The sequence below is a fragment of the Homo sapiens genome, chromosome 1, assembly GCF_000001405.40.
Source record: "Homo sapiens chromosome 1, GRCh38.p14 Primary Assembly".
In the NCBI taxonomy this organism is placed as follows: Eukaryota; Metazoa; Chordata; class Mammalia; order Primates; family Hominidae; genus Homo; species Homo sapiens.
The window spans coordinates 41831492-41858832 of NC_000001.11; the positions used below are offsets into that span (position 1 = coordinate 41831492).

Genomic DNA, 27341 nt, shown 5'->3' on the forward strand with positions numbered 1-27341 from the left:
AGCTTCCCAGAGCATTTCACAATATCCAATGAGTATCGGCTTTCAGATGCCAATTTCATTATTATACCAATGCTAGAAAAACTTTCATGTGAGACGCTGCAGTTAAGGATATGTTCAACATGGGGTTCATCAAAGCTTTAGAGCACTGTGAAATAACCATTCTCCTATTTGCATAAATATCATGAGAACTAAGTCTCTTTCTCAAGTCCCACGAGGTAATGAAAAAGTGAACACTGGTTGAGGCTGCCTGTGCACCAGGCATGAGTCTGTGCTCATGGGAGGCAGTGAACACCTCACCTGGCCTGGAGCAAGCATTCAAGGAATGCTGGCTCTTAACATCTGTCTCATTTAATCCAAACAACAGTCAGTTTGAGGTGGGACTCTTAACCCCACCTTGGAGTTAAGGACACAGAAGCACTGAGATTTACCTAATCTACCCAAAGTCATCGAACTAATAAGTAAGTGATGGAGCCAGGGTTGGAATCTGGACAGTCAGGGTCTAGAGCGTTGCCATTTATCCACTACACTAGAGCTGTCTCAATTTTCTTAAAATTCAGATTCTGAATCAGAATGTTTGGGGTCAGCCTCGAGATCTGCATTTCTAACTATTTCTAGGTGATGTTGATGCTTCTAGCCTATGGCTCAGGCTTTCAGTTGTAAAAGTACAGAAGAAGGAACTCCTGCTAAAAGTCAGAAACTAGCCTCTGGTCCAGCCCTGGCAAATGCTGGCAATGAGACCATGGCTAAGTGACCTCTCCTCACAGGCTCACTCATGCCTGTGATCCCAGCCCTTTGGGAGGCCAAGGTGGGAGGATCACATAAGCCCAGGAGTTCAAGACCAGCCTGGGCAATGTGGCAAGACCCTGTCTCTACAAAAATTTTTTAAAAAATTAGCCAGGCATGGTGGTGTGCCCCTATAGTCCCAGCTACTCGGGAGGCTGAGGTGGGAGGATCACTTGAGCCTAGAACACAGAGGCTGCAGTGAGCCAAGATCATGCCACTGCACTCCAGCCTGGATGACACAGTGAGACCCAGTCTCAAAAAAACAAAAATTACTGGGTGTGTGTGAAAGCACTTTATAAACCAGAAAACTCAAAAGCAAGGGGACAGAAATTTGCTTATCCACTCGTCTTTTTCCCTCTAGGATGTGAGTCTTTGAGCCAGCACAAAGCAGTGGTGCCTGGCACATAGTAGATATTTAGTAAGTGTTCAAAGTGCCAAGTACTTTAAATGTTATGTAATTTAATCTTCACAACAATCTCTGATTCACATTTTACAGATAAGGAAACTGAGACTGCCTAATACACCCTCAAACTACTAAAGCAGTAAATGCTGAAGCCCAGATTTTAAATGAGATCTGTCTGGTTCCAAAACCAATGCTGATTTTACCCTCCACTCCCATTATTCCTCCCACATAGGGGTCTGGCTGAGGTCTAGGAATGGATCCAGATTTTGCTTCTGCACCTGTCACATGGGCACTGGGAGTCCAACTCCTTCTTAGAACAAATGAGGGCTCTGGTCTAGGGACAGATCCTACAAATGCAAGTAGAAGCTCTTCATTTTAGGGGTGGGAGAAGGCACGGAAATAATTCAGCTAAAATAAACCCTTCAAGTATTCTGCAATGAGAAGCAAAGTCAAGGTCTTCCTATTATCAGGGCCCCCAAAGCCAATCCAGAATGTACAGGTTCAACAAGTTCAAAGGAGCAAATGCCTGGAACAGTGGCTCTAAAAGTGGGGTCCACCAGGGTCTCTGGATGGCCCTGCTGACCAAAGTATTTTGTTCTTGACATTAATTTATAGCTCCAGCATTGGTAGGAAACTTAGGGGTCATGGAGTGCAGCTTCCCACACAATGCAAAGCCACATGAGGGGGCTGGTTTTTGAGGTCTTGAGTCCACTGACCAACTCAATTTGAGGCTCAATGGCTTAGAGAAGGAAAAAAACTAAAGTAAGAGGTTGATACTGTTCCTATCCTAGAGGCAAGGAAACAATGCTCAGAAAGGCTAAGGAATTTAGTCCAAAGCACAAAGGCACGAATGGTAGAGATAAGGCCTGAACCTAGGGACAACTGACTCCAAAGTCTATGCCCTCTCCTCTGCCCCTCCAGGATTGTAATTACCATTATAAAAGCAGCAGAATCTGAGGGCTCAAGGAGGAGCTGGACATGGCTCCAGAGCCTCTCCTGAACTCTGCTGGCATCAAACATCATGATGGACACAAGAAGCACGCCTGAGCCCACAGTGATAAGGTCCACACACAGTGGCTCCTCCTTTCCCCAAGTCATTCTGTGGGTGGTACCCAGCTCATCTGGATAATAACTAACCACAAGCTGACCATGGTGGAAAATCCAAGATCTGATAAACACACAAAGGAAAATCCTTCAAAGAAGCTACCGAGCCTGCTCAGCGTGGGAGCCTCCAGCTTGTGAAATGGCGAGGGGGTAGTATTGTGACCCAGACTTGACCACCTGGTGTGACCCTAGCAAGGACCTCCCTCCTGCTCCCTGAGGGCTGCTTTCCTACCTGTAAGAGGTGTGACCAGGAATCCCCAGCATGGTCACAGAATAAGAAAGGTCAAGAGGCTGGAAAGGGCCTCCTGAGACCAGTGAGCCCGGCTCCCTCTGGGCCTGGGGCTGGGTCTAGCATAACACACCCTCATTTAATCCTCCTCACAAATGGGTCAGAGAAGTATGAAGTCTTTGGGGACAGGAGGGGTGATGGCCATCTGGGTGTCTCATCAGCTCCATCTCTCTGCAGAGACCACGGACATCTTCATTGACACCCCCATTCCCCCACTGTGAGTAAACCACTCTCTCAGGGGAAGGGGGAATATGTCCATGCCCTCCCCAAGAGGACCTTGGCACTGGTGCTGTTCTGTGGGCTCTGTCTGGCTGCCCCTTACCTTATGAAATACAGGGGTCACAGTTCAGTTTTCTTAACATCTAGTACATTCTCCAGCACACCAAGTGTTCAGTAAGTGTTGGCTATGACTGGATAATCATCCTATAAAGGGTCTGACTCAGGCAGAACACTATAGCTGTAACAGCTCCCCAATTCTTATTGAATAAGACAGCGATGTGGTGGTTCCTCCACAAAGCAGTGATTAGAATTCCAATTGTGAGGTTCATCATTTCATCCAGTATTTATTGAGCACCTACTCAGTGCCAGGCACTATTTGGGGATTCAGTGATGGACAAAACAGATATAAATCCCTGACTTCATAGAGCTTATTTTCTAGTGGAAGAGACAGACAAACAAAGACACAATACAGTATCAGTTAGTAATAAATGCTCTGAAAAAATAATAAAGAAAGATGAGAGAATGAAGTGTTGGGAACACTATTTGAGATGCATGGCATGAAAAGGCCTTCCAAGCAGAGAGAACAGCAAGTGCAATGGCCCTGAGGTGGGAATGTGCTTGGGGACAGGAGAGCAGTGACCAGGAATGATGAGCTGAGAATGAAGCTGGAGCAGCAGGCAGGGGTTTGGGCCACAGTGGTCATGGCAAGGACTCTAGATTTTATTACAAATTCCACGAAGCCATTGCAGGGTTCTGAGCACAGTGGTGAGGCCATCTGGTTTACATGATCTGGGGACCAGAAGGACTAATTCTTAGCATGTAAGCTCCAAGGAAATGTAAGTACATTAAAGAAACCCTAAGTACATGGAGAGTAACTTGTTTGAAAATACTATTGTCTTAGCCTACTAGGACTGTCATCACAAAATACCACAGACTAGGTGGCTTAAACAACAGAAATTTATTTTTTTCACAGCTCTGGAGGCTACAAGTCCAAGATCAAAGTCCCAGCCAATTAGGTTTCTGGTGAGGGCTCTCTTCCTGGCTTGCAGACAGCCACCTCCTCACTGCGTCCCAGCATGGCCTTTCCTCCGTAAGGGCATGCAAAGGAGAAAGTGAGCTCTCTGGTGTCTCTTCACATAAGGACATCAATCCTATTAGTGACTCTTATAACCTTATTTAACTCAATATCCAAAAGGTGCTATTTCCAAGTACACTCACACTGGGAGTTAGGGCTTCAACATATTTTAAAGTAACACGATTCAGTCCATAGCGTCTAGATTCCTATCAAATTAGATTTTACAAAATCTGCTCTTCCATGGTTAACTTCAGACAAACTGATGGACAAAACCAATGGTGAAGTCAGAGTTAGTCAACGCAGAGGAAATGGATGTAGATCACGCTAATATTCCTTAGGGCAGTAGCTCTCCGCCCTGGGATGATTCTGATTCAGAAGTGCTGTGGTAGGGCCCAGGGAAAGTGCATTTTAACAAGCCACTTTGACAGACTGATGAACAGTGGACAAATGCAGTGCTCCCTGGGCCCCTCTAAGAAGCAGTACCAAAGATAAAAGTTAATTTCAAGTCACTATAGATAGAGTATTATGCAAATAAAAGATTATTTTTTATGTTCCTCACACTTTCACCAAAAGAAACAGATACCCCTAACCTGCCATATGAGCTCCTTCTTATCCACCTGATATTTGTCTTTCTAGATTATGTGATTTTTGTGAACAGGACAGTCCATGAACCCTGTGGCTGCTATGTCTTCAGAGATTACAGGCAGCTCTCAGCACCTGAGCTTTCGTGCATGTTTTGAGTCCCATGATCCTCTGGCCATGACTAGGCCAAGAATATGTGCACATGCCAAAGACAATGACCTTCAGGAGAGACGTCAAGGACTCCAGCTGCCTCAGTCGGGGCCTGGCTGAGCCCTCTGCCCCGCAGACTTGCCCTCTGGTGAACCAGCCAATCCAAGCAGACTGTCCCTGCTGAGCAGCTGGGAGTGTGAGACCCAGAGAGAGAAGAACAAGGGAGGCATGGCTGCAGGAGAAGGACAGGCAGAGAGCACAGCTGGGTCAGGTTCAGCCTGGGTTAGTGGCTGGCATGGGAAGATGCCTGGTCTCCAGAGCTGCTGAGGGTGACAAGGGACATGCTGCAGTTCTCCTTGGGCGTCACAGGGCAACTTCCAGGATGTTTCAGAACGTCCTCATCTCCTTGATCTCCTTACGAGTAATCCCATCAACAAGACAATCTGAGCATGTTCTCAGTTCCCACAGCAAGAGCTAAGAAGCAGATCAATGAAACTGGTCATGTGGATTCCCACACTACTCCAAACTTACTGGGTCTCAGCTCAATTCTCATTTATTTCTCATGTTTTCCCCTTGAAGGAAATTCACAAGAATGCAACCAGTCCTTTGGAGTTAGTTGTGGTAGGATGCGACTGGCAAACCTAAGAGGCATCCTGGCTTTTCTCATTTCACCCACCCATGTCTAAACCCCTAGTGAGTCTGCAGTGGCTCTACTTCCAAAGCATCCCTATAACCCAACAACTCTCTCCATCCCATTGCCAAAACTCAAATCATACAACTATCTTCTTGCATGAACTATTGAAGTGGCACATCATGGTCTTTTTTCCACTGTTGCTGCTCTAAAATCCATCCCCTACACAGCAGATCATGTCCCTACTTAGAACCTTCTAGGAGCTTCCCAATACCAATCCTTACCAAAGCCTACAAGAGCCTATAGGATTGGGCCTTGCCCTTCTCTTCAGCTTCATCTCCCTCCACCCTTTCAATAATTCCCGCCCAATGGCCTTCATTTTGTTCCTCCAACACAACAAGCTTATTCCTGTCTCAGGAAATTTGCACCTGCTCTTCCTACTGCTAGGAATACTCTTCCCGACACATCTGCACAGCTGCTTCCATCTCATTTGGGGTTTCCCTCAAGGGTTACCTCCTCAGTGAAGCCTTCCCTGAATACTCCAGCAAAGGCAGCCCCTCAGTCACCCTGTCCTACTTTTTGCTCTTTTTATTATTTTTATTTTTATTATTTTTTTGAGACAGAGTTTCACTCTTGTTGCCCAGGCTTGAGTGCAATGGTGCAATCTCAGCTCACTGCAACCTCCGCCTCCTAGGTTCAAGCGATTCTCCTGCCTCAGCCTCCCGAGTAGCTGGGATTACAGGCATGCACCACCACACCCCGCTAATTTTATATTTATAGTAAAGAAGAGGTTTCTTCATGTTGGTCAGGCTGGTCTCCAACTCCCGACCTCAGGTGATCTGCTTGCCTTGGCCTCCCAAAGTGCTGGGATTATAAGCAAGAGCCACCACGCCCGGCCTGCTCTTTTGTCTTCTTCATAACCCCTGTTAGCACCGGACATTGCCCTGTTCACTTACCTGTTCCTTGTTTAATTCTATCTCCTATTCTAAAATACAAGACTTACAGGCAAGCACACTGGCTTTCTTCCCCCTGAATCCCTAGCCCTGGAACAGTGCCTGGTACCCAGTAGGTACTTGATGAGTGTCACCTGCCTGCCTGGCCAGTATTTATTCCACATGGCACCACCTCTGGGGATTCTGGCCATCTCTGTCTCTCCCATTGCCTTCTATCTTAGCAACAATCTCAGGAAGGTGGTTCCTCTCAGCCCTGCAGGGGCCCAGGCTAAGCCTCAGTGCATTGCATATGGACATCTGAATACACCTTTGCTTTGGAATACCATGTTCCAGCTCTCCTTTCAGTCCATGAAAGGAACAGGAATTCTGCCCCTTTGACACAGATGGCCCGGTGAATTCCTTGTATTCTTTTTGTTTTTCAGGACTTATATATATATTTTAATTGAACTTGTTGAGATAATTGTAGATTCACACAGAGTTGTAAAAAATAATACAAAGAGATCTCAGGTACTTTTCCCTCATTTTCCCCCAACGGTAACATCTTGCAACACTATATTATATCACAATATCAGAATCCACATAATGTCATCGACAGAGGCAAGATTCAGAGCATTTCCATCGCACAAGGATCCCTCATACTGTGCTTTTATAACCACTCCCATCCCTCTAGGCTCCACCAGGACAACCAAAAAGCTGTCTGTTCCCCCTTCCTATAACTGTGTCATTTCTTCACTCCTTGCCTTCTTTCCACACTTTCAGACCACATGGCATTGCTGTCAGGATGCTTGGCTGCCTCATATCCGCTTGTGGTCGGCCTCGGATCTGGCCTCCCCTTCCCTCCTGAGCCACATTGTCTCGTCCTTACCCATAAATGGCACCCTGATTTTTTAGGACCTGCTTTCTAATTCATCAAGAACATTTCAGATTTATCACCATCCTCCTAGGGAGGCAGCATCTCCCTGTGCAAAGAACACAGGCTTTGAATCCTACTCTCTACCTCTCCGAGCCTCAGTTTTCTCATCTATAGAATGGAGTCAATAATACCAGTATCAGGGATCCATGGAGAATAAATGACACAGTGAGAGGAAGGACTCTGCCCAGTGTCTGGCACATAGCAGGCACATGCTAGGAAGGGTAATATGCACAATTTAGGATTACCTACGAATCTCAGTCAGTCTGCGAAACAACAATAGCAACTAATCAAAACACCATTTCCTGATGGGATTAAAATCAGAAAGAGCATCTGATCAGAGAGCAGATATCCCACAGTGTTAATAGCTGACAACTGGACCAAATTATCTTCTTTCAAGAAGGGTGTCAAGGATGTCAGGGGGTTGGGGGTCCAGGAATAGATCCTCAAAATCTTCCAATTGACAATATTCATCAATTTGCTGTGTGACCTTGTCAAGTTTCTCTACCTCTCTGAACCTCCAGTTCTTGGTCTGCCACAGGGATGCCAGCCTTGACCTGTGATTTCCTCACCCTATGCTACAGGGTCCACAGAGGAGGGAAGGTGGAGCCCTGAGAAGGTCTCTGGCCTCCTTCTCCTCCCACCTCCCCATCCAAAGCAGCACCCACCTCTGTTACTGGCTCTACATATCAAGAGTACAGGTGATCTTTCCTTTGAAGAAGAGCCTCTGGTGGTTTCAGAACTTGCAAGACCATTGTCCCGATGATTGCTGGGGTTCCTTCTGGTTCTAAAGACCTGCAGTCCTAAGTTCTCAGCTCACTCTCACGTACTGAAAACAGACAGGACTCTGCAGCAGCAACTGGTCTCAGCTCAAGCATCACTTCCTCCAGGAAGCATTCTTTGACCCAGGAGATGAAGGTAGGGCCACCTGTGGGCACCCCCAAGGCACCTCCTTTCTAAGTTGCCCATAGGAGGATTCCAGGGATGGAACTAACAAATCGCAGGGCCCAGGGCGTGAGTACTCTGGAGTGGGGCATGGGATGCTCTGTGTGTGTGACTACACATGAGTGAGGTAACCACTCACAGCCCAGATTAATGGCCACGCCTGGGGTCCAGAGGACCCCAAGTGAAATGCAGCCTGGCTGGCTGTATGTCACAGAGGATTTTTCCTAATCAAGGAGGGAAACAGAGTAACGGTCTACCTTGCTTAGCCTTGTAAGCCCCCGGTGACCACCCTGGATGCAAATGACCTTGCCCAAACTATTAAACATTCAAACCCTCCTTCTCTTATTTTATTCTCAGGAGGGTTTAGAGCCTCACTGTCTGCCATGGTTGCCACTAGTCCTGTGTGACTATTTAAATGAGATACAATTTAAAACCCAGGTCCTTAGCCACACTGGGCATATTTCAAGTGGCATAGTGACAGAACTGTATCCCATCATCTCAGGAAGATCGACTGCACAGTGCTGCCTAAACTGTTTGGGAATCCTGAGCCTGGCTCTCGTCGCGCCTCCTTTTATGAATCAGTTTGCCACCGTCCCCGCCTCTTTGTCACTTGTTCCTGAAAAACCCGGACTGGGTTGAATAGTGTCCCCCCAACGTTCACATCCACCCAGAGCCTCAAAATGTGACCTTATTTGGAAATAGAGTCTTTGCAGATATCATTAGTTAAGATGAAGTCATATTGGAATAGAGTAGACCCCAAATCCAACATGACTGTGTCTTATAAGGAGAGGAGAGACACATGCATGGATTCACAGAGGGAGAAGGCCATGTGATGACAACAGAGGCCGAGACCTGATGACATCTCTACAAGCCAAGGTCACTAAGGATTGCCAGCAACCACCAGAAATTAGAAGAGGCACAGAAGGATCCTTCCCTAGAGACTTTGGAGGAAGCATGGCCCTGCTGACACCTTGATTTCAGACTTCTGGCCTCCAGAACCATGAAAGAATAAATTTCTGGTGTTTTAAGCCATCAGTTTGTGCTAATTTATTATGGCAGCCACGAGAAATTAATACAGGACCCCATCACGAGACCCTACATTCTCATCCAACTCTCTCCCTCAAAGACAGCCAGGACCTTCAAATCCCTTGGATATTAACCCCTGGCCAGTGACACCCACGGAGCCCATCAGATCCTGGCCGTGCCAGCCAGCCAGTCACTGGACGACATAACCAGAGGAAGCTTGGCACTGGAAGGAGGCCAGGCATGCTGGGCTGGTGAGGCTGCCTAGGAAGGAGCCAGGAGACTCAAGTAGAGCACTCAAATTCCATAACTTTCTCTCCTTTTAATTTTAAAACAATATCAGAAGGGTTCCCAGAAAGCAACAAGCCCCAGGCCATCCAGTCAGTGGTTAAACAGTGGAGCCTGATCACTTACTTTATTAACTTGCTAAATCAAAGGGCTGTTAAAGTCTCTGTCCGGTAATAAAATGCAGGAAGGAGCTGAATCACCCACCTATTAGTGGCAGTATTGGTGCAGTTAATGACTGTAGCCTGGAGGGCCGTGCAGACAACAACAAAGCCAGCCCTGCGTTTCCACCTACAAACCCCACCACTTCCTCTGCCCATCCCAGTGCCCCCAGCACACCTGCCCACACACACCTGTCTTCAAGAAGGCTGCATCAGAATCTGTGGTGGCTTGATTTTTAAACACACCCAGAATTTCTCCTGTCAAATACACTTCCATCCAACTCTTCCAGGATCCCACCTCCATGACCCCAAACAAAAACAAAGAAACCAAACATCCAGAAACGCGGTGTTTATTAAATCAATTCTTTAAACAGGCAGCCAACACCAAGTTTTGACAATGCATTACAAACAGTGCAAAGCCTCCGGAGCCGAATGCTCTGTGAATATCAGTGCAGCACTGATAAGCTGGACCCTGAACCAGTATCACCCTCTGACCACACAGAGCCAGGAACAGCCCTATTTATTTTCTTCATTCCACCTTCTCCTGCCACTTTAAAATGGGGGAGAGGGGAACGGCCTGTGTGCTGTTCTTCCAGAAGCTGGTGGAAAGACATGCCCAAAACCGCTGACTTCGTCCATGTAGCTTATCAGCAGGGCCATTTTGAACAAGTTATCTAAGCTCAGGGCCTCAATGTCCTCACGCGTAAGTGATGGCTCCAGAGGGAGTGTTCTTCTAAGACCTGGTGAGGTAAGTGTGCTTATGAGTTTGGTACATCATAAGTACTGCATTAATATTCGTTGTTGGCTGGGTGGGGTGGCTCACTCCTATAATCCCAGCACTTTGGGAAGCCGAGGCAGGTGGATCACTTGAGGTCAGGAGTTCAAGACCAGTCTGGCCAACATGGTGAAATCCCCCCATCTCTACTAAAAATACAAAACTTAGCCAGGCGTGGTGGTGTGCACCTGTAGTCCTAGCTACTCAGGAGGCTGAGGCAGGAGAATTGCTTGAACCCAAGAGGTGGAGGTTGCAGTGAGTCGAGATCACAGCACTGCACTCAGCCCGGGCAACAGAGAGAGACTCCATCTCAAAAAAAAAATTCACTGTTAATGATTATGATGAATAATGCACCTAGTATATAGTAAGCACTCAATAATAACAGCAATAAAGTGCTGTTATTATTTCTAAAGTAACATCTAACAAAACCAGGCTCCAAGTGCCATAAAAACTCATTATTAAATCTTTATAACAGATGCAACTCTAAAACTATCCAAATTAAACCCTTCAGAATATTCCCAGGACACCCAGAAAAGATTGAGCCTGAATCCCCCATTGGCACTAAAAACAGGACCCACAAAGGAGCCTCGAAGTCATGTGGAGCCAGGTTTGGCAACTCACTCCCCACTGTCCCATTACTGGCCCCTCATAAAGGCTTCCTGATTTATCACTGCAGTAGGACTGAACTCTTCCACCAGGAGGTTTGCTCCATTATGCTCCATTACTCTGGCCTCATTTGAAAGCAGCCTCTGGGGCTTTATCCATGCCAATCAGGAGGTCTTGGTGGAAAGAGCTCCACGTGCCCCTGAGATAACAGAATGCTAGCTTCCCACAGCTCAGACCCACTGAGAATCCTGAAGAAGGAGCCCAGCATGAGTTCATTCTCCTTCCCAAGAGAAAAGAGAGCAGAAAGAAAGAAAAGGAAGCAGCATTCTTTCTCATCCCTCGAGATGGTGAAGCTCCTTTTCATTTGCTTCTGAGATCTGCAAATCAGGTGGCAATTTTAGCTCTTTTTGCCCCCCGCTTCTTGCTAGAGTATCAGAAAGGCACTAAGGCCAGCAGCCTCTTTCTTCATCAGCAATTAGATCTATGGCTAGGATCTGTCTACCTGGCACTGACCTGGGGTAACCTCAGTTCCAATCTCTGCAGCTTTCCAGAAATGAGGCTTCAGTGTGGAGAAAGATTTTTGTTTCAAATAAAGGCTTTTCTTACGCTCAAAAGCAATGTACCCTGGAAATTGTTGCTGGGAGGACAGGAATGCAGGATGCAGGCCCTCAGCTGTGAAGTCCTCCCCTCCGTTCCCCGTTACCAAGCACCTCTACTTCCTCCCTAAGACCTGAGGAAACGCTAAAAGCAGGCACAAGCAGTACACAGCAAATCCCCACATTTCACGGCATATGCGCCTTCCCAGATGACTGCATGGATACACTCCATAACACATTGTTAAAGTGATAATTAGCGATAGACTTGTTATGAATATTCCAAATACAGTTTCTCTCTACAACAGTTGATGGAGACAAAGGACATCACACGAAATGTAAGAAGTAACAGAGGGATTTTTGTGCATATATTTTTAAAAGGTCCTGGGAAAATAGCATAAATCAGAAGTTGATTTCAACAAATTAAACATTTCAGGACCCATTTCCAATGAAAGATGCATGGGCATCAGTATTTCCTCCGCAATGCTTAGGGAACACGCCATCCTCCCACAAACTCCAGTAAAGAATGTGAAACCCAATTCCAGAAGCCACTCTTCTGTTGCCCTGTTTCACAGCAGCTAGGAGTGCTAAAGACGGGTAGTTTAAGAAAAAAAAAAAACAGAGGAAATGCTGAGGAATAAGGAAGAAAGTAACTACAGCCAACGTGACTCACCCTTTAAAAGTAAAAGAGAAAAGGCTTCTATTCATGTTTAACATTTCTCCCTCTAAATGAAATTTCTGGAGGCCCCAACTCTGCCCCCACACCTTTACACACATTCTGATTTTTTTTATTATACTTTAAGTTTTAGGGTACATGTGCACAATGTGCAGGTTAGTTACATATGTATACATGTGCCATGTTGGTGTGCTGCACCCAGTAACTCGTCATTTAACATTAGGTATGTCTCCAAATGCTATCCCTCCCCCCTCCGTGTGTGGGGCCTCCACAACAGGCCCCAGTGTGTGATGTTCCCCTTCCTGTGTCCATGTGTTCTCATTGTTCAATTCCCTGATTTTTAAATTCACAGTGATTTTGCTCCACATGGGACAATGTTGATACCAATGACACACTCCCTCCTCTCATTGCCTGCTTCACCAGGGTGGATGAAAGACTTCAGGCAGCCAAACTGAGGATAGTAAAGAGGGGAGGGAGCCTCTGACACCAAGGAACAAAAGAAGGAGACCCAGCCCCACCAAGTCCACCTCCACTGCAAACTGAGAATCAGTTCAGCCAAGGGGCATGGAAAACAACAACCCCTTCAGGGCTGAAAGGGAGCAGCACACTAAACTAACAAGGAGAAGAACGCAATGAACAGTGCTGCTGCATCTCCTCTGTGAACATCAGGGATTCTGGACTTACTCAGATAGAATGTTCTATTTTAAGGATGAACCTGAGCTCTTCTAGTCCAAGAGGGAGACACAAGTAGCAACACACGTTATCATGCACACAGAGTCCTCTGCAGGCAAAGGCGCCCTTCTCCTCCCCAGCAGTATCGCTAGACGTCATCCGATGCCGCTTCTTACCTTAACTGCTCGCAGGGTCACAGGGCTTGAAAACCACAGTGTTGGGGACAGCCCTAGAGCCATTTAAGTACACCCCTTTCATTTTCTAAGTGGGGAAACTACAAACCATAGAGGCTGAATAATGTGCTCAATTCAAAAGGCTTGAAAACAAGTGCCAAGGTTGGTGTAAAATCTAGGACCTTCAAGTCTCAATCTTAGTCCACCCTCTACAACAATGTTCCCCGCTTTTCCCCTTATTCAGACTAAACTAACATCCAAAGCATAGAATTATCTTGAAGGAGTAACATTAAACATCAGGATCAAAATATAAAGAAAGGAAAATCTAACATCTCATATAGAATAATCTCAGCACTATACCTAGAACACACCAGCTGACCTGGGCTTCTTTGGGTCCTGAGGGAGGCCAGCCAGGGGCAGAGGTCACCAGGAACAGCCTGGAGAGGGGAGAAGAGGGCCGCTGGAGGCCTTCAGGGCTCAAGCTTCTGCCACAGGGCCTTTGCACTGCCTCTTCCCTCTGTGGGAGCTCCATCCCTGGGCATCCACAGGGCTCACTCCCTCACCTCCTTCGCATCTATGCTCATAGGCCCCATTCTCTATGTAGCCTCCCCTGACAACTCACTTGAAAATTTCCCTTGATAGTCCCCATCTCTTGCACCCTACTTAAGTTTTTCCATGGTATTTATCACTTTCTAAGAGACTACAATATGTTTATTCTCTACCACCTTCCATTTTAAATAATATCCATGAGGACAAAGAGTTTTGGTTCACTCCTCTATCTCCTGGGTCTACAATAGTGTCTGACACATAATAGGTGCTCAGTAAATAAATACTAGTAGAATGGATAAATGAGTGCTCATTCCTTCACTGTCTCCATCAGCAACAACCACCTACACACCTCCTATACACACACACACACGCACACACACACACACACACACACACACACACACACACACGCCTCTTTCTGCCCTTTTCTCTCTTCTTCACCTATACCCCAGGCCTGCCACTAGGAACAACAGGGATAGTTTAGGTTAAACTTAGAACATTCAGTAATAATATTGCCAAGCCTTCCATTAAAAACTCATGTTTTATATACATATATGGTTTTATAGGCACAAAAACTCTAGAAGGATACACATTAAACTGATATCACTAGGTGTCCCAGGGAACTAGATGGCTGGGCATGTAAACTTTTCACTCTATATGCTTTTATACTATTTGAATTTTGAACTATATGAATGTAATTACCTGTCAAGTATGTTTAATTAAAAATAAAATTGGAGGCTGGGTATGGTGGCTCATACCTGTAATCCCAGCACTTTGGGAGGCCGAGGCAGGTGGATCACCTGAGGTCAGGAGTTCAAGACCAGCCTGGCCAACATGGTGAAACCCCATCTCTATGAAAAATACAAAAATTAGCCAGGCATGGTGGTTGGTGCCTGTAGTCCCAACTACTCTGGAGGCTGAGGCAGGAGAATTGCTTGAACCCGGGAGACAGTTGCAGTGAGCCAAGATTGCGCCGCTGCATTCCAGCCTGGGCAACAGAGTGAGACTCCATCTCAAAAAGAAATAATAAATAAAAAGTAAACTGGAAAAACCAACGCACGAATAACATTCATTCCTCAGCTCTCGTCCTCACATCATCTTAATACAAATTTTTCAGGGTGACGGTCACTAGAATGCTGTCAGCCCTGGATTAGATAGTGAAATATGGTAACATTCTCCTTTTCTCTCATCCCCCAATTTTCTGAAATGTGCATGTTACTTTTACAATGAAATATTTGAAAAAGTTTCCATTGTGCAGAAGGATATGAATTAATGCAAATTTCCCTACATACATAAAACATGGAGACTTTGTTTCAACTCATGAATCCATTTACCTTTCATTCTGTTAACTCCTGTTGGATTTTTCATTTAATAGATTTCAGAGGAAGTTGTCTAAGATGGTGCCAGGTCACCAGAGGTGCCAATGCAGGACACAGGCAATGCCGTCAAGGTTGTATCCGGTGAGGATGACCACAAGCAAGCCAGGCTCATAGCCTAAAGGATACACCTGAACGTGTTCGCTGTGAGGAATGGGCCAGAGGATTATGTGATGTTTCATATTTTTTCCTTGGGACTTTCAGATTTTTCCAAGTTTTCTGCCCTGAGATGCATTACTGAACTTCTGTTTTTCCTCTTACTACACTGTGAAGTAAATGTGTGTGATGAGTCACTGGCCTTTGCCAGGCTGTGATCTTCCCAAGAATGAAGTCCCTATTTAATTCATCTTTGTCTTCTCAGCCTCTTGCCTGGTGCCTTGCAACAGCGGCTCCTCCATAGATGGGTAATGAAAGAATGAACAAATGACTGTTTCTCAGCATCCAATGAGCACTCATGGGATATAGCCACATACTAACCCCAAAGAGACAACACCACTCCCTCATTCACTGCCTGCTCACCTCAGTCATCATTCATGGGTATTCCCTGTTCCAGGCAAGGCAACGGAAGCCAGAGCCACCCAAGTGTGGCTATATAAAGGCATCCAGGAAAGGGCATATGTGGCCTTCCCAGCAACCTAGTCTCTCATGCATTTGGGTTCTGAGCAGTTAATGCTGGCTCCATACTTTGACATCTTTGTAACTTTTGCAAATTTTCTTTTGATTCTTTTCTGGGGATTCATCTTAAGGAAATAATTAGTCATAGGAAGAGGAAACTAAAACCACATTTATTAATGCTGTTTAGGTGGAGAAAAGTTGGAAACAACCTAAACATCAAACCATAAGAGATGAGGTAAACAAAGGATGCTGTAGCTATGTAAATGAGTACTCTTACATTACAATTGCTGTAAACTAAGCTTGTTGCTCTAGAAAGTTGTTCATATAAGATATTAAGTGCCAACGTGTTTTATGAAAGACTATACATGATATTGTGACACTACACTTACATTAAAATATATGTGTACATATTATATATGTATGATACTATATGACTAAATGATCATCTTGTCTTTGGGGTAAGTAGGATTTGGAAGTAGCTTTTTCTTCTTTTTATTTGTCTACACTTCCAAAGTTTTTGTAACAAGCATGTGCTGCTTTGCAATAATGAAAAATAGCAATGCTAACATTTAACTGAAAAAAGAAAAGCACAATTATCCTGGAGTAGGGCAGGCACTAAAAAGGCGGGAGTAAGAGCGATGAGAGTAGAACGCTGAGCTGAGGCTGGCCTCCTTCACGGCCACCTTCCTCCAGGGGTGGATCCGTGTTCCAGTCACCTCCAAACACACAAAGATGTCAGTGCCACAGACCATACTTTCTCTCACACATCCAGTCAAAGCACCAGGAGGGGACAGAGTCACCACAGTGCAAGTCTCAGCTGGGATTGGGCAGGGGAGAGGAGAAGGGCATCAAGGAGCTGACCAGGAGACACACTGATCTGGCCAGGCAGCCTCTTGCAGAAGTGGATCCCGTTAACAATGAAACAGATATGACATGAACTTGGCAACTTCTGAGAACAGGAATGTCTAGTGGTGCTTCTAGCCTAAAGTGACCCAGTTTCAGATAAGACAGTTTAATCCAGAACTCAGAGGGAGAAAAGATTAATATTTTCTCCTAGGGAAGGATACCCAGAGCTACCACAGCTGAAATGGGAATAACATGCTTAAAGGTGGATATGAGATGGCCAAAGTCCCATGAGGAATGGCCTCCAGGTATGATGATGAAATCCAGTGCAGGAGGGAAGGTCTCTTCTCATAGTATCCAATTGCAAAACTGGTCAAAATTCAACCATTTTCTCAGGGTTATTCTAAAAGCTGTTGGACTTGTACTGCTTCTTTGGCTTCTCTGGCTCTTGTTCCAGCTTTTGCAGTTACAAAATGAGAAAGACCTCGCTGTGCTGTCCTCCATTCAGTGGGTTCTGGATGGATTGCCAGATGATGTGAAGGGCTCTTGGTCATGGCTGGTACCTGCAAACACGGAGAGTGCTTATCACCATTGGACTCTACTGTGCCATTTCCATCATGTCAATCATGGATAGACATGAGATAAGGAGGATGGAATCGGCAGTGGGCAGGACACAATAGGAAGCGAGGGAGGGGAGAGGGCAACAGGGTGGAAGGGTAGAGAGAATTGCAGGAAGAAGGAGGGACCCAGGAATGGCCCAACATCCTCAGAGATGAAAGATTACAGAAAGAGGGCAGAAGGCGAGAGCAGAGAGGCCATGCCAGCTTGGGCTGGAGCAGTCAGATTCCTCACCACACCCTTGTCCCTGCTGTGCCCATCTGCTGCCCTTTCTTTGCCTTCTGGCCCTGTAGGAGCCATCCCAGCCCCACATCCCAAGCCCTACCTGTGACTACCCCTCCCCTAAGCCCTACCAGAGAAATGAACTTACTTCTACCCTTCGTGGGCCGCATGCCTCCAGCTCCAGCTCTTCTTGGGGCTCCAGAGTGTGCCAGTTTCCCTTCAAGCACCAGTGTCCTCAACCTCTGGCATGGTATTGGAATCTGTGCCTTCAGAACCTCCTTTCTTCCCATTCTTCAGGACGTTTGTCCCTCGACTGGACAAGATCCAGCAGGAGTGGGCAACACAGGAACAAATCCGAGACACCAGACTGAGAGGGACAGGAAGGGGAAACACGGGGCAGTCCTGGGTGATCTGGACCATCTGGTCACCTCATTCTAGTTCACGAGTGGACATTTAGATAAGGGAAACCAAACTGAATCAGAACTCTAAACTCAGTGTGCAGCAGGGTCACCAGATTGCTTATTCTATGGCACCTGAGACCTTTCATCACCACTGATCTTCACGACAGATGCACGCAGATATATCTACCAAGGACTTAGAAACCCAAGACAGTTTCATACTTTAAAAATGTGTGGAAACTAACCATGCACAAACTTCTCCAATTACATCAGTCTCCCCAGAAGCACATCCAACAGCACTCTGTCACAACTTCTGGAAGCAGCCTGCCTCCTTGCTAACCCCTCCTCCATGCAGATGCTCACCTAGAGGAGTGGATGGGACATAATACCAAGGAGGAGAGTGTGGGTCCAGTCCTAGCACAGGCCAGGAACATTTTCTGCTTTAGAGTCACAGGACTGTTCACCAAGCCAAGCTGAATAAACATCTTATTGCAATATTTGCACAGACATGCAACTACTTGCTGTGACCATGACAGTGACTGGAATGTAAGGATCCATCAGTGGTAGACCCAAATCTTTTTTTTTTTTTTTTCCAAGTCTTGCCCTGTCGCCCAGGCTGGAGTGCAATGGCGCAATCTCGGCTCACTGCAACCTCTGCCTCCTGGGTTCAAGCAATTCTCCTGCCTCACCCTCCCGAGTATCTGGGACTACAGGCATGCACCACCATGCCCAGCTAATTTTTGTATTTTTAGTAGACATGGGGTTTCACCATGTTGGCCAGGCTGGTCTCAAACTCCTGACCTTGGGATCCACCCACCTTGGCCTCCTAAAGTGCTGGGATTACAGGCATGAGACACCACGCCTGGCCGGTAGACCCAAATCTTAAAGCACATACTCTACTCTAGTGGTTCCTAAACTTTAGCATGCATCAGAATCATTTGTAGACTTTGTTAAAACACAGAGTTTTGGTTACACTCCTACGGTTTTTTAATCAGTAGGTCTGGGGTGGAGGCTGACAGCTAGAGTTTCTAACAAGTTCCCAAGCCCAGCTATTGCTGGTCCAGAGACCACACTTTGAGAACCACTGGTCTACCACCAACAGTGTTCAATAGTATCACCTGTCTTATATCAAAGGAACCACTAATGACTCACTCGCACTCAGCCCTGTAACCTCATCCAAAGCAGAGGCACAGAAAAGGCCACCACACACACAAAGAAAAACTGTTTACAAAATGTTTTTATTTTAAGGTTAAGAATAAAAGGAGCCTTAGGGTTCATATAATCTAACTACCTCACTTAATATAATATTAATTAAACTAAGCTTAGAGAGGGTAACTTGCACACAGAAACAATGAAACAATCAATAGAACCCAAACCAGGAACCCCAGCAGCACTACTCTCAAAATCGCAAACGTGGAGTCCTAGAAAATCTCCTAATTTTTGTCGTCATTAGAGTCACAAGGCTCAAGAGTCTGCAACTGGCAAATTAGGGCTTCCCCTTCTGGTCCTCCATGCCGAAGCACTCAGGCCATGCCATGGTCATTTCTTAGTAAGGCTATGATGGAAGCAATTCTTGGTTCCCTCCAAGTTCAACTGTGAGTCCACTGCCTAGAACTCAGAACTGGTTTTCTCAGAAATCCCATAGCACACGTGGAGGGTTCCTGGGAGAACTCTTCCTACTAGGCACCACATTGTTGAACTGCAGTGATGATAGCCCACAGGATCTAACCATCATGAAGAATATAATTTCCTAAAATTCCATTCTGAGTTTCAACTTGGACCTGTGCTGGTCCCTCTTCCTGGAAAACTGCTGCCCCAGTTTTCTCATGTCAGGCTCCTTCTGTATGTTTCCTCTTGCAGAGTATCTCCTGATCATCTACCCAAGTAGTTCTCACTCCCCTCCTGCCAGTTACACTGCATCTCATCAGCCTTCTCTACACTCCTTATAGCCCTAGAACTATATAAAACATTTGTTCATCATCTACTTGCTCATTACCCCCTGAAAGTAGGATGTGAGCTTCGAGAGGGCAGGAACTTTACCTTTCTGTCTACCACTATAACCGCAGCACCTAGAACAGTGCTTGGGACACAGCAGATTCTCTATACATATCTGTCTAATGAACAAATGAATGTACAGAAGAATGATGAGAGAGCACCTTCTTCTTCTTCTTTTTTTTTTTTTTTTTTTTTTTTTTTTTTTTGAGACAGAGTCTTGCTCTGTTGCCAGGCTGGCGTGTAGTGGCATGATGTTGGCTCACTGCAACATCTGCCTCCTGGATTCAAGCAATTCTCCTGCCTCAGACTCCCAAGTAGCTGGGTCTACAGGCACGTGCCACCACACCTGGCTAATTTTTGTATTTTTAGTAGAGACAAGGTTTCACCATGTTAGCCAGGATGGTCTCAATCTCTTGACCTCGTGATCTGCCAGCCTCGGCCTCCCAAAGTGCTGGGATTACAGGCGTGAACCATCATGTCCAGATGAGAGCACCTTCTTTCAACGTGGTTTCCAAAGTTGGAATTTGAGACTTTCCTTCCTGTTTCTCTCATTTTCAATAGTAGGAGTTAGACTACTGAGCTTTAATAGAACGTGGAAGGAGAAAAACGTGCCCTTAGGCTGGTGTTCTCAATGACAGGACAGAGAAGAGGAAGTTGCAGGGATTGGGGGTGGTGTCGATTTACTTCTCAGCTCTGGTGTCCTTTCGCACAGAAAGCATGCTGGTGAGTCAGGTCTTCCTGGATACAGGGCTTGGGAGGCAATGAGGTGTACTGGAATGAGATGTTTTTGAGACCAAAGAGTTGGGTTCAAACCCTCAAAAAGTCATGTAAATCTCTCTGAGCCTCATGGGGCTGGTAGAAAATACCCAAGGGATAGGGTGTTTGTGAGGATCAAGGAAGTTAACATATGTGGACACTCTCTGTAAATAGTAAAATAATATAAGTTGCTATTAAATGATTATTGATAAGACCACATAGGCTCTGGAGAGATCCAAATAGGTGAAATTTCTCGGCATGCATCTCCATTCAGTCTTGCTGTTTTGCCTTCCTTAGTTCTACCAGCACTCTCAGACCCCAGGCTGCTGCGTGGGAGCCCCGGCTCAAGAGCAGAAGCCCTAAGGTGCTGGCATGGGCTCCTCAGAGCCCCGTGGGGCTGCCAGCAGCCACAGCACAGCCATGAGCAGGGCAGCCAACAGGAAGCCCAGGAGAAGACCACTGTGAGAGGCCACAGAGGGACACAGGGACACCGTCATCGGCCCTGAGCCAGGGGCAGGTGTAAGAAACAAGCCGGAAGCCCTCACTTTTGGCCCAAATGCTTTGGATAGGCCAGAATCCCAGAGACAGGAATATCAGAGAAGCCAGCTTCCCTCTTATGACCAGGCCCTGGCTTCTTCATGTCCTTAGGGTGGGTTCTACACTCCACTCCCAAAAGCAGGGCCTATACTTCTTCCCTTGCCAAGAAGGTGGGGTGGATGGTATTGGGATCTTTGGATGGATTCCCAAGATTGGAGAAGGTCTCCTTTCTCAGTCTTCATGGGCTGCACTGCCAATTTCTCATTGACCAAACTTTAATGTTCCAGGCAACGAGGCTCTTGGCTATAAGGTGTCCTCATGTTACAGAAATCACCTCCTCTGACCCAGTTACTCCCAAACTGTTTCCACTCTTCCTTAAGTGATAACCTTAATGACAAGTCTCATGCAAACAGTAATTTCTTATCCTTTCTTCCAAGAGTTCAGTTCACTCCAGCAACTGGCTACTAACTACTTACAGCTGAGCACAGATTTCACGCAGAACTGTGTAAAGTTGTCCTTGGGAAGACAAACACAGCAGCCAGTTCCTGCCACCAAGCAGCACACAGTCTGGGTGGGAACAGAGACTTCACGTCCCCACCACGAATGGCTGTGTTTTAGAGTTCATTACCTGAAAAGAAACAGGGTGGGAGGCATGTGGGGAATAAAGTGAGCAGGCTGGAGGAGGTCTTCTTCAAGAAAACAGAGACTGGCCCAGCTCTCTTCTGGCTCCAAAATGCTGTGTTTATTGGGTTGTCTGGATCAGAGGCAAATTCTTGGATTTCTGACAATGTTGCTATGATGTAATGAGGGCTAGAATCTTCTTGAATCAGGAAAGTTTCAGGGAGGTTCTATTAGTCTGTTCTCACACGGCTATAAGGACATACTGAGACTGGGTGATTTATAAAGGAAAGAGGTTTAATTGACTCGTAGTTCTGCATGGCTGGGGAGGCCTCAGGACATTTACAATCATGGTGAAAGGTGAAGGGGAAGCAAGGCACCCTCTTCACAAGGTGGCAGGAAGGAGAATGAAAGCAGGAGGAACTACCAAACAATTATAAAACCATCAGATATTTCGAGAACTCACTATCATGAGAACAGCATGGGGGAAACTGCCCCCACGATTCAATCACCTCCACCTGCTCTCTCCTTTGACATGTGGGGATTATGGGGATTACAATTCAAGTGAGATTTTGGGTGGGGACACAGGCAAACCATATCAGAGGTGTTATATAGTAAGGAGCTTAAAAAACAGAAGGATTTCAACGTGTAGAAAGGGAGAGGAAGGGAGTTCCAGGCTGAGAGGAGTGAGTGAGGGAAAGTAGGAGTGAAGAGGGTACCCAGAAACTGGATGATCCAGCAGCTTTAGTTCAGTGGGGTTTGAGGCACTTGGGAACTCACCAAGGCGAACCTGCCACAAGCTACCCAGGGTCTCCACCTGCCAACCTTCAGCAGCGGCTCTAGGCTGCTGATGCCAGCTAGAGAAGCCTGTCTGTAAATGATGATGAATGTGTGAGCTCACCAAGGGAGAAGGCCAGAGGAGCTCACACATCGAGGAGCTGGCTTTCAAGGGATGGGGAAAGAAAGGCACCAGAGAAGCAGAGCGAAGACGTGGAAACCATAGAGCCTTACTAAGTGTGTTCACTCACCCGGCTGTACCTAGGGCCACCTGTTGTCCTCTTGGATGGAGGCAGATCGGCTTTCTCTCTCCCTCTCTCTCTCCCTCTCTCTGTCCCACCTCCTCTCTCTCTCTCTCTCTCAGTTCTGGGCTGGGACAGGGAAGAACAGCAGGACTCTATTACTTCAGGCAAATTTTGACAGATGGGCCAGGACCTGCATACAGGGCCACCCAGCAGGCGCTGGGGAAGGGAGCCTGCTAAGGGGCTGACTGCAGAGCCAGGCCCAGGTCTGAAGGGCCACGGGTGCCTGGTTTCAGGTTGGAAAGGGTTTCAAGTTGGGCAGGGTTGGCAATGGAGCATCCCACTGAAAACAGAAGAGCCTCACCCCCACCCCACTGACTCCTGTTCGCTCACCCCTCTGAGCTTCTGCCCATGCCGATCCCTGTGTCTGGAGCACTGCTCAGGGCTCCCTCTTGGCATATTCTTGCTGCACTTTTTTTTTTTTTTTTTTTTTTATACTCTAAGTTTTAGGGTACATGTGCACATTGTGCAGGTTAGTTACATATGTATACATGTGCCATGCTGGTGCGCTGCACCCACTAATGTGTCATCTAGCATTAGGTATATCTCCCAATGTTATCCCTCCCCCCTCCCCCGACCCCACCACAGTCCCCAGAGTGTGATATTCCCCTTCCTGTGTCCACGTGATCTCATTGTTCAATTCCCACCTATGAGTGAGAATATGCGGTGTTTGGTTTTTTGTTCTTGCGATAGTTTACTGAGAATGATGGTTTCCAATTTCATCCATGTCCCTACAAAGGATATGAACTCATCATTTTTTATGGCTGCATAGTATTCCATGGTGTATATGTGCCACATTTTCTTAATCCAGTCTATCATTGTTGGACATTTGGGTTGGTTCCAAGTCTTTGCTATTGTGAATAGTGCTGCAATAAACATACGTGTGCATGTGTCTTTATAGCAGCATGATTTATACTCATTTGGGTATATACCCAGTAATGGGATGGCTGGGTCAAATGGTATTTCTAGTTCTAGATCCCTGAGGAATCGCCACACTGACTTCCACAATGGTTGAACTAGTTTACAGTCCCACCAACCGTGTAAAAGTGTTCCTATTTCTCCGCATCCTCTCCAGCACCTGTTGTTTCCTGACTTTTTAATGATTGCCATTCTAACTGGTGTGAGATGATATCTCATAGTGGTTTTGATTTGCATTTCTCTGATGGCCAGTGATGATGAGCATTTCTTCATGTGTTTTTTGGCTGCATAAAAAAGCAATGGCAACAAAAGACAAAATTGACAAATGGGATCTAATTAAACTAAAGAGCTTCTGCACAGCAAAAGAAACTACCATCAGAGTGAACAGGCAACCTACAACATGGGAGAAAATTTTCGCAACCTACTCATCTGACAAAGGGCTAATATCCAGAATCTACAATGAACTCAAACAAATTTACAAGAAAAAAACAAACAACCCCATCAAAAAGTGGGTGAAGGACATGAACAGACACTTCTTGCTGCACTTTTAAAACCTGCTTCCAAACTCACCTTCTCCATGAATTCCCTAACTCTTGAAGTCAAAAATCGATCTTTTCCTCCCCTATACACTATTCTCACAACACTTTTCATACACAAAAATCAGATATGGCTCTATCTCCCCCACTGGACCATAGAACTCCTCAGATTAGAAACGGCACTAGGGTCACAAATTCAAATGCTCACAGAGCCAGGCAGATAACATAAATGGGTGAAGCTGCTGGTTTAGGTGACATGGGTGGTAATTGTCTTGGTGATGGCCAGACAATAGGAGTCACTGGAAGCTGTGATGAATCAGAGGGGCTGGAATGATTGATTGATTGAGACAGAGTCTTGCTCTGTCATACAGGCTGGAGTGCAGTGATGCAATCTCAGCTCACTGCAACCTTTGCCTCTCGGGTTCAAGTGATCCTCCTGCCTCACCCTCCCAAGTAGCTGGGACTACAGGTGCATGCCACCAAAGGGGCCTGCTGCCCCTCCTGCCCATATGGAGAATACCAGAGCATGGGAATGTGACCTGTATTACCAGAACTGCAATTTTCAGGGAGAGGCCAGGTATCTGCATTCTTATATGAAATTACCCCATCTTTATGTGTCAGCAGCAAATCCAAATTTAAGACACCATGTTGCAAGCCAAATAAAATGCATCTGCAGCCAGATGCAATGAAAGCTTGTTGATTGAAAAGCAAATGAACAAATGAATGAAGGAATAGAAAAGAAGGAGCAGATGGGTGGGAGGGGGAAACAGGATGGGTGCCCAAGTGTCAAGATGCCAAGCGGTGGGCTGGGCACGCTCAAGGTGACCCCGTTGCCAAGCTGTCAGTGTGAACATCAGCACGGTCTTGCTTGTTGGCTAAGGGGAAGAGAAAAGCCTATGGCCCTGTGAACTTAGCAACCAGCTTCTCCAAAAACATTACAATCAGAAGCTCTTGTTGCAGCCAAAACACAGGTGCAGAAAACAAGCGGGCGTTCGCACATGCACGTGCACAAGGTGTGCAGAAGTTGAAGGCTCAGCATGCCACAAATTCCGCACTCCCTCCAAGCACACCTTATGCCTCATGTTACAGATGTCTTGAGGGAGGAAGGGAGGGACAATTTAGCAAATTGGGAGGTGCAGCAGGGGAAAAGGAGTCATCCAGCCAGAATTCTCCCCATCTCTACCCAGAAACTCCCTCTCCTTGCTTTGTTGACGGCGCTGAAGCTTGGGGGAGGCATAAGTGAGCCTGGTGTGGGACTGACCCTCAGCCTCCAGGAACACTATCGGCAGGAACACAGCCCGTGTGGGATGCCTGGGGTTGCAAAAGAAAAGTTATTTCAGGTTCAACTGAGTTATAATTTATTTTTTCTAACTGATCATTACTGCTGCGGCTCTATAAATAACCACCTAGGGAGTCTGCTTTTCTGCTCCCAAATCCTCAAAAAGCATTGCCAGGTTCTCTGTGGTTTCTGGCCTGCCAAGCACACAGCACATTTCTTTTCTGTGCAGCCCTTCAGGGAATCCTTCTGCAGTGCATGCCAAGGAATCTGCTGAGTTCTGCCCAACTCAGTCCTCCCCTTCCTGATCCAATTCCTCTCCTCCAAACTGGCCATCCAGCCCTCCTCCCCCATTCCACAAGAGGCCCCTCTCCCTGGACACAGGTGGTTCCCAAGCCAAGGTCCCGGCTTCTCTCTGTTTACTCTGCTTCCATCCAACTGCAACCCTCCATGCTTAGAAGACAAGAGTTATTTGTACTACAGAAATCCAGCTGTGGCATCATTTGAGGTCAAGCCCAGGAAGAAAAGAGGGTTGGTCTGATGGTATCACCAGTAAAATATCAAGGGTCAATACCACCCCAGGAAGGGTGGCTGTGGTTTACATGAAATCAATTTAAGTGATTTAAAGAAGAATGTATTTCAAGTACAACTCAGTTTAACCAAGTATAGAAAAAAAAAAATCATGTTCCTGATGATGTTCTAAAGGATGTACGTTTAGGCCCTTTCTAAATAACATGGGGTTTTCTCCTTAAACAGAGGAACTAGACGGGAACTAATATTCATCAAGACCCACTCCACACCAAGCAATTTTGTTTCATTTTCACAACATGATGCCTATGAGGTATGCATCCTCATGCCCATCTTGTAGATGGGAGTCCTGAGAAAAGGACTTGCTCAAAGTCATGCAGAAGGAAAGAGGTAGGGGTGAGACTCAAGCCCAAGTTTTTCCCCTGCTACCTCCTATTACCTCTCTAAGCTAGAAGACTGGAGTTTCAATGTATGTTTATTTTTCTAACTTTCAGATTACTTTTGCAGCTCAGAAAGCAAGGACAACCTGGATATTTCACCACAGTTCCTTAACAGCCATATAACTCTTTGGAGTTAGCCTCTCCAACTAGTTAACTGTGAAATCTCAATCAATCAATCAATCTCTCTCTCTCTCTCTCTCACCATTTATTACGACAATGACCATAAAGGCTATGGTCATTCAGGTTGCTTTAATGGTCTAAAAATGAGAGCTTATGTATTTTTGAATAGTTTTAAAAATGATCATTCCTAACATTTACAAAATAATGGAAAACATAAGTTTTACCCAGTAATCAATGCTCCACGGAAGGTTAGGTGGCCCTGCAGATGCTACCACAGCACTCTGCTCTGTTGGGACACCTTTTCCACCATATTGGAATGGACTGTTTCCTTGTCTGACTCTCCTTCTAGGCCGGTGATCCCCAAAGCTTTTTGGTCATATGCCCTAACAATAAACATTTGAGTGTACCTGCCTATGTGCACATTTGTTTATTTATAAATTATATTCATGCCCTGTCATTCACAAAAATGGGAAAAAGGATGAGATGTGTGTGGGTCATCTTCCTATGTGTCTATCTACTTCTCAATCATAATTTCTTCCTGCCCCACAATGGACCATCTCACCTTCCATGGTCTCCAACACCGACATCCCACTTTGGAGACCACTCTCCTAGGATATGTGCTCATCATCCCTCATTTATTCATTTCCCACTGTCTCCAGTAACACCTACCCTATGCTGGGTACTATGCTAGGTGCTGGGGATAGTGGGTGAACCACATGGACAAGGATCATGTTTTCCATAGAGCTTACAATCCAGCGGGTGAAACAGTGTCAGATAATGTCAGAGAGAGAAAACAGCCACAAGAAAGTAAAACAAGATGATGTGATGTTAAGTGATGGAGAATGTCTACAGGGGTAAGAGGGAAGTCACGATGGACCAGACCAGCAGCTCAGCAAAGGCCTCTGTGAC

General features: G+C 46.1%; 1 protein-coding gene across 4 annotated transcripts in view; it reads right to left on the reverse strand.

Annotated features, from left to right (window-relative positions):
• The window catches only part of HIVEP3 (HIVEP zinc finger 3), a 529570-nt gene that overhangs the window by 325127 nt on the left and 177102 nt on the right, over positions 1-27341 (reverse strand). For 2 of the 4 annotated variants that reach the window (NR_038261.2, NR_038260.2), the window contains 2 exons: positions 17380-17598; positions 15698-16954 (listed from right to left, as the gene is read on the reverse strand). The exons of the other annotated variants lie outside the window; for them this stretch is intronic. The gene's annotated coding sequence lies outside the window, so the exon portion shown is untranslated. Of the gene's footprint in view, positions 1-15697; positions 16955-17379; positions 17599-27341 lie in introns of those variants that run through there. 4 annotated transcript variants of the gene reach the window in all.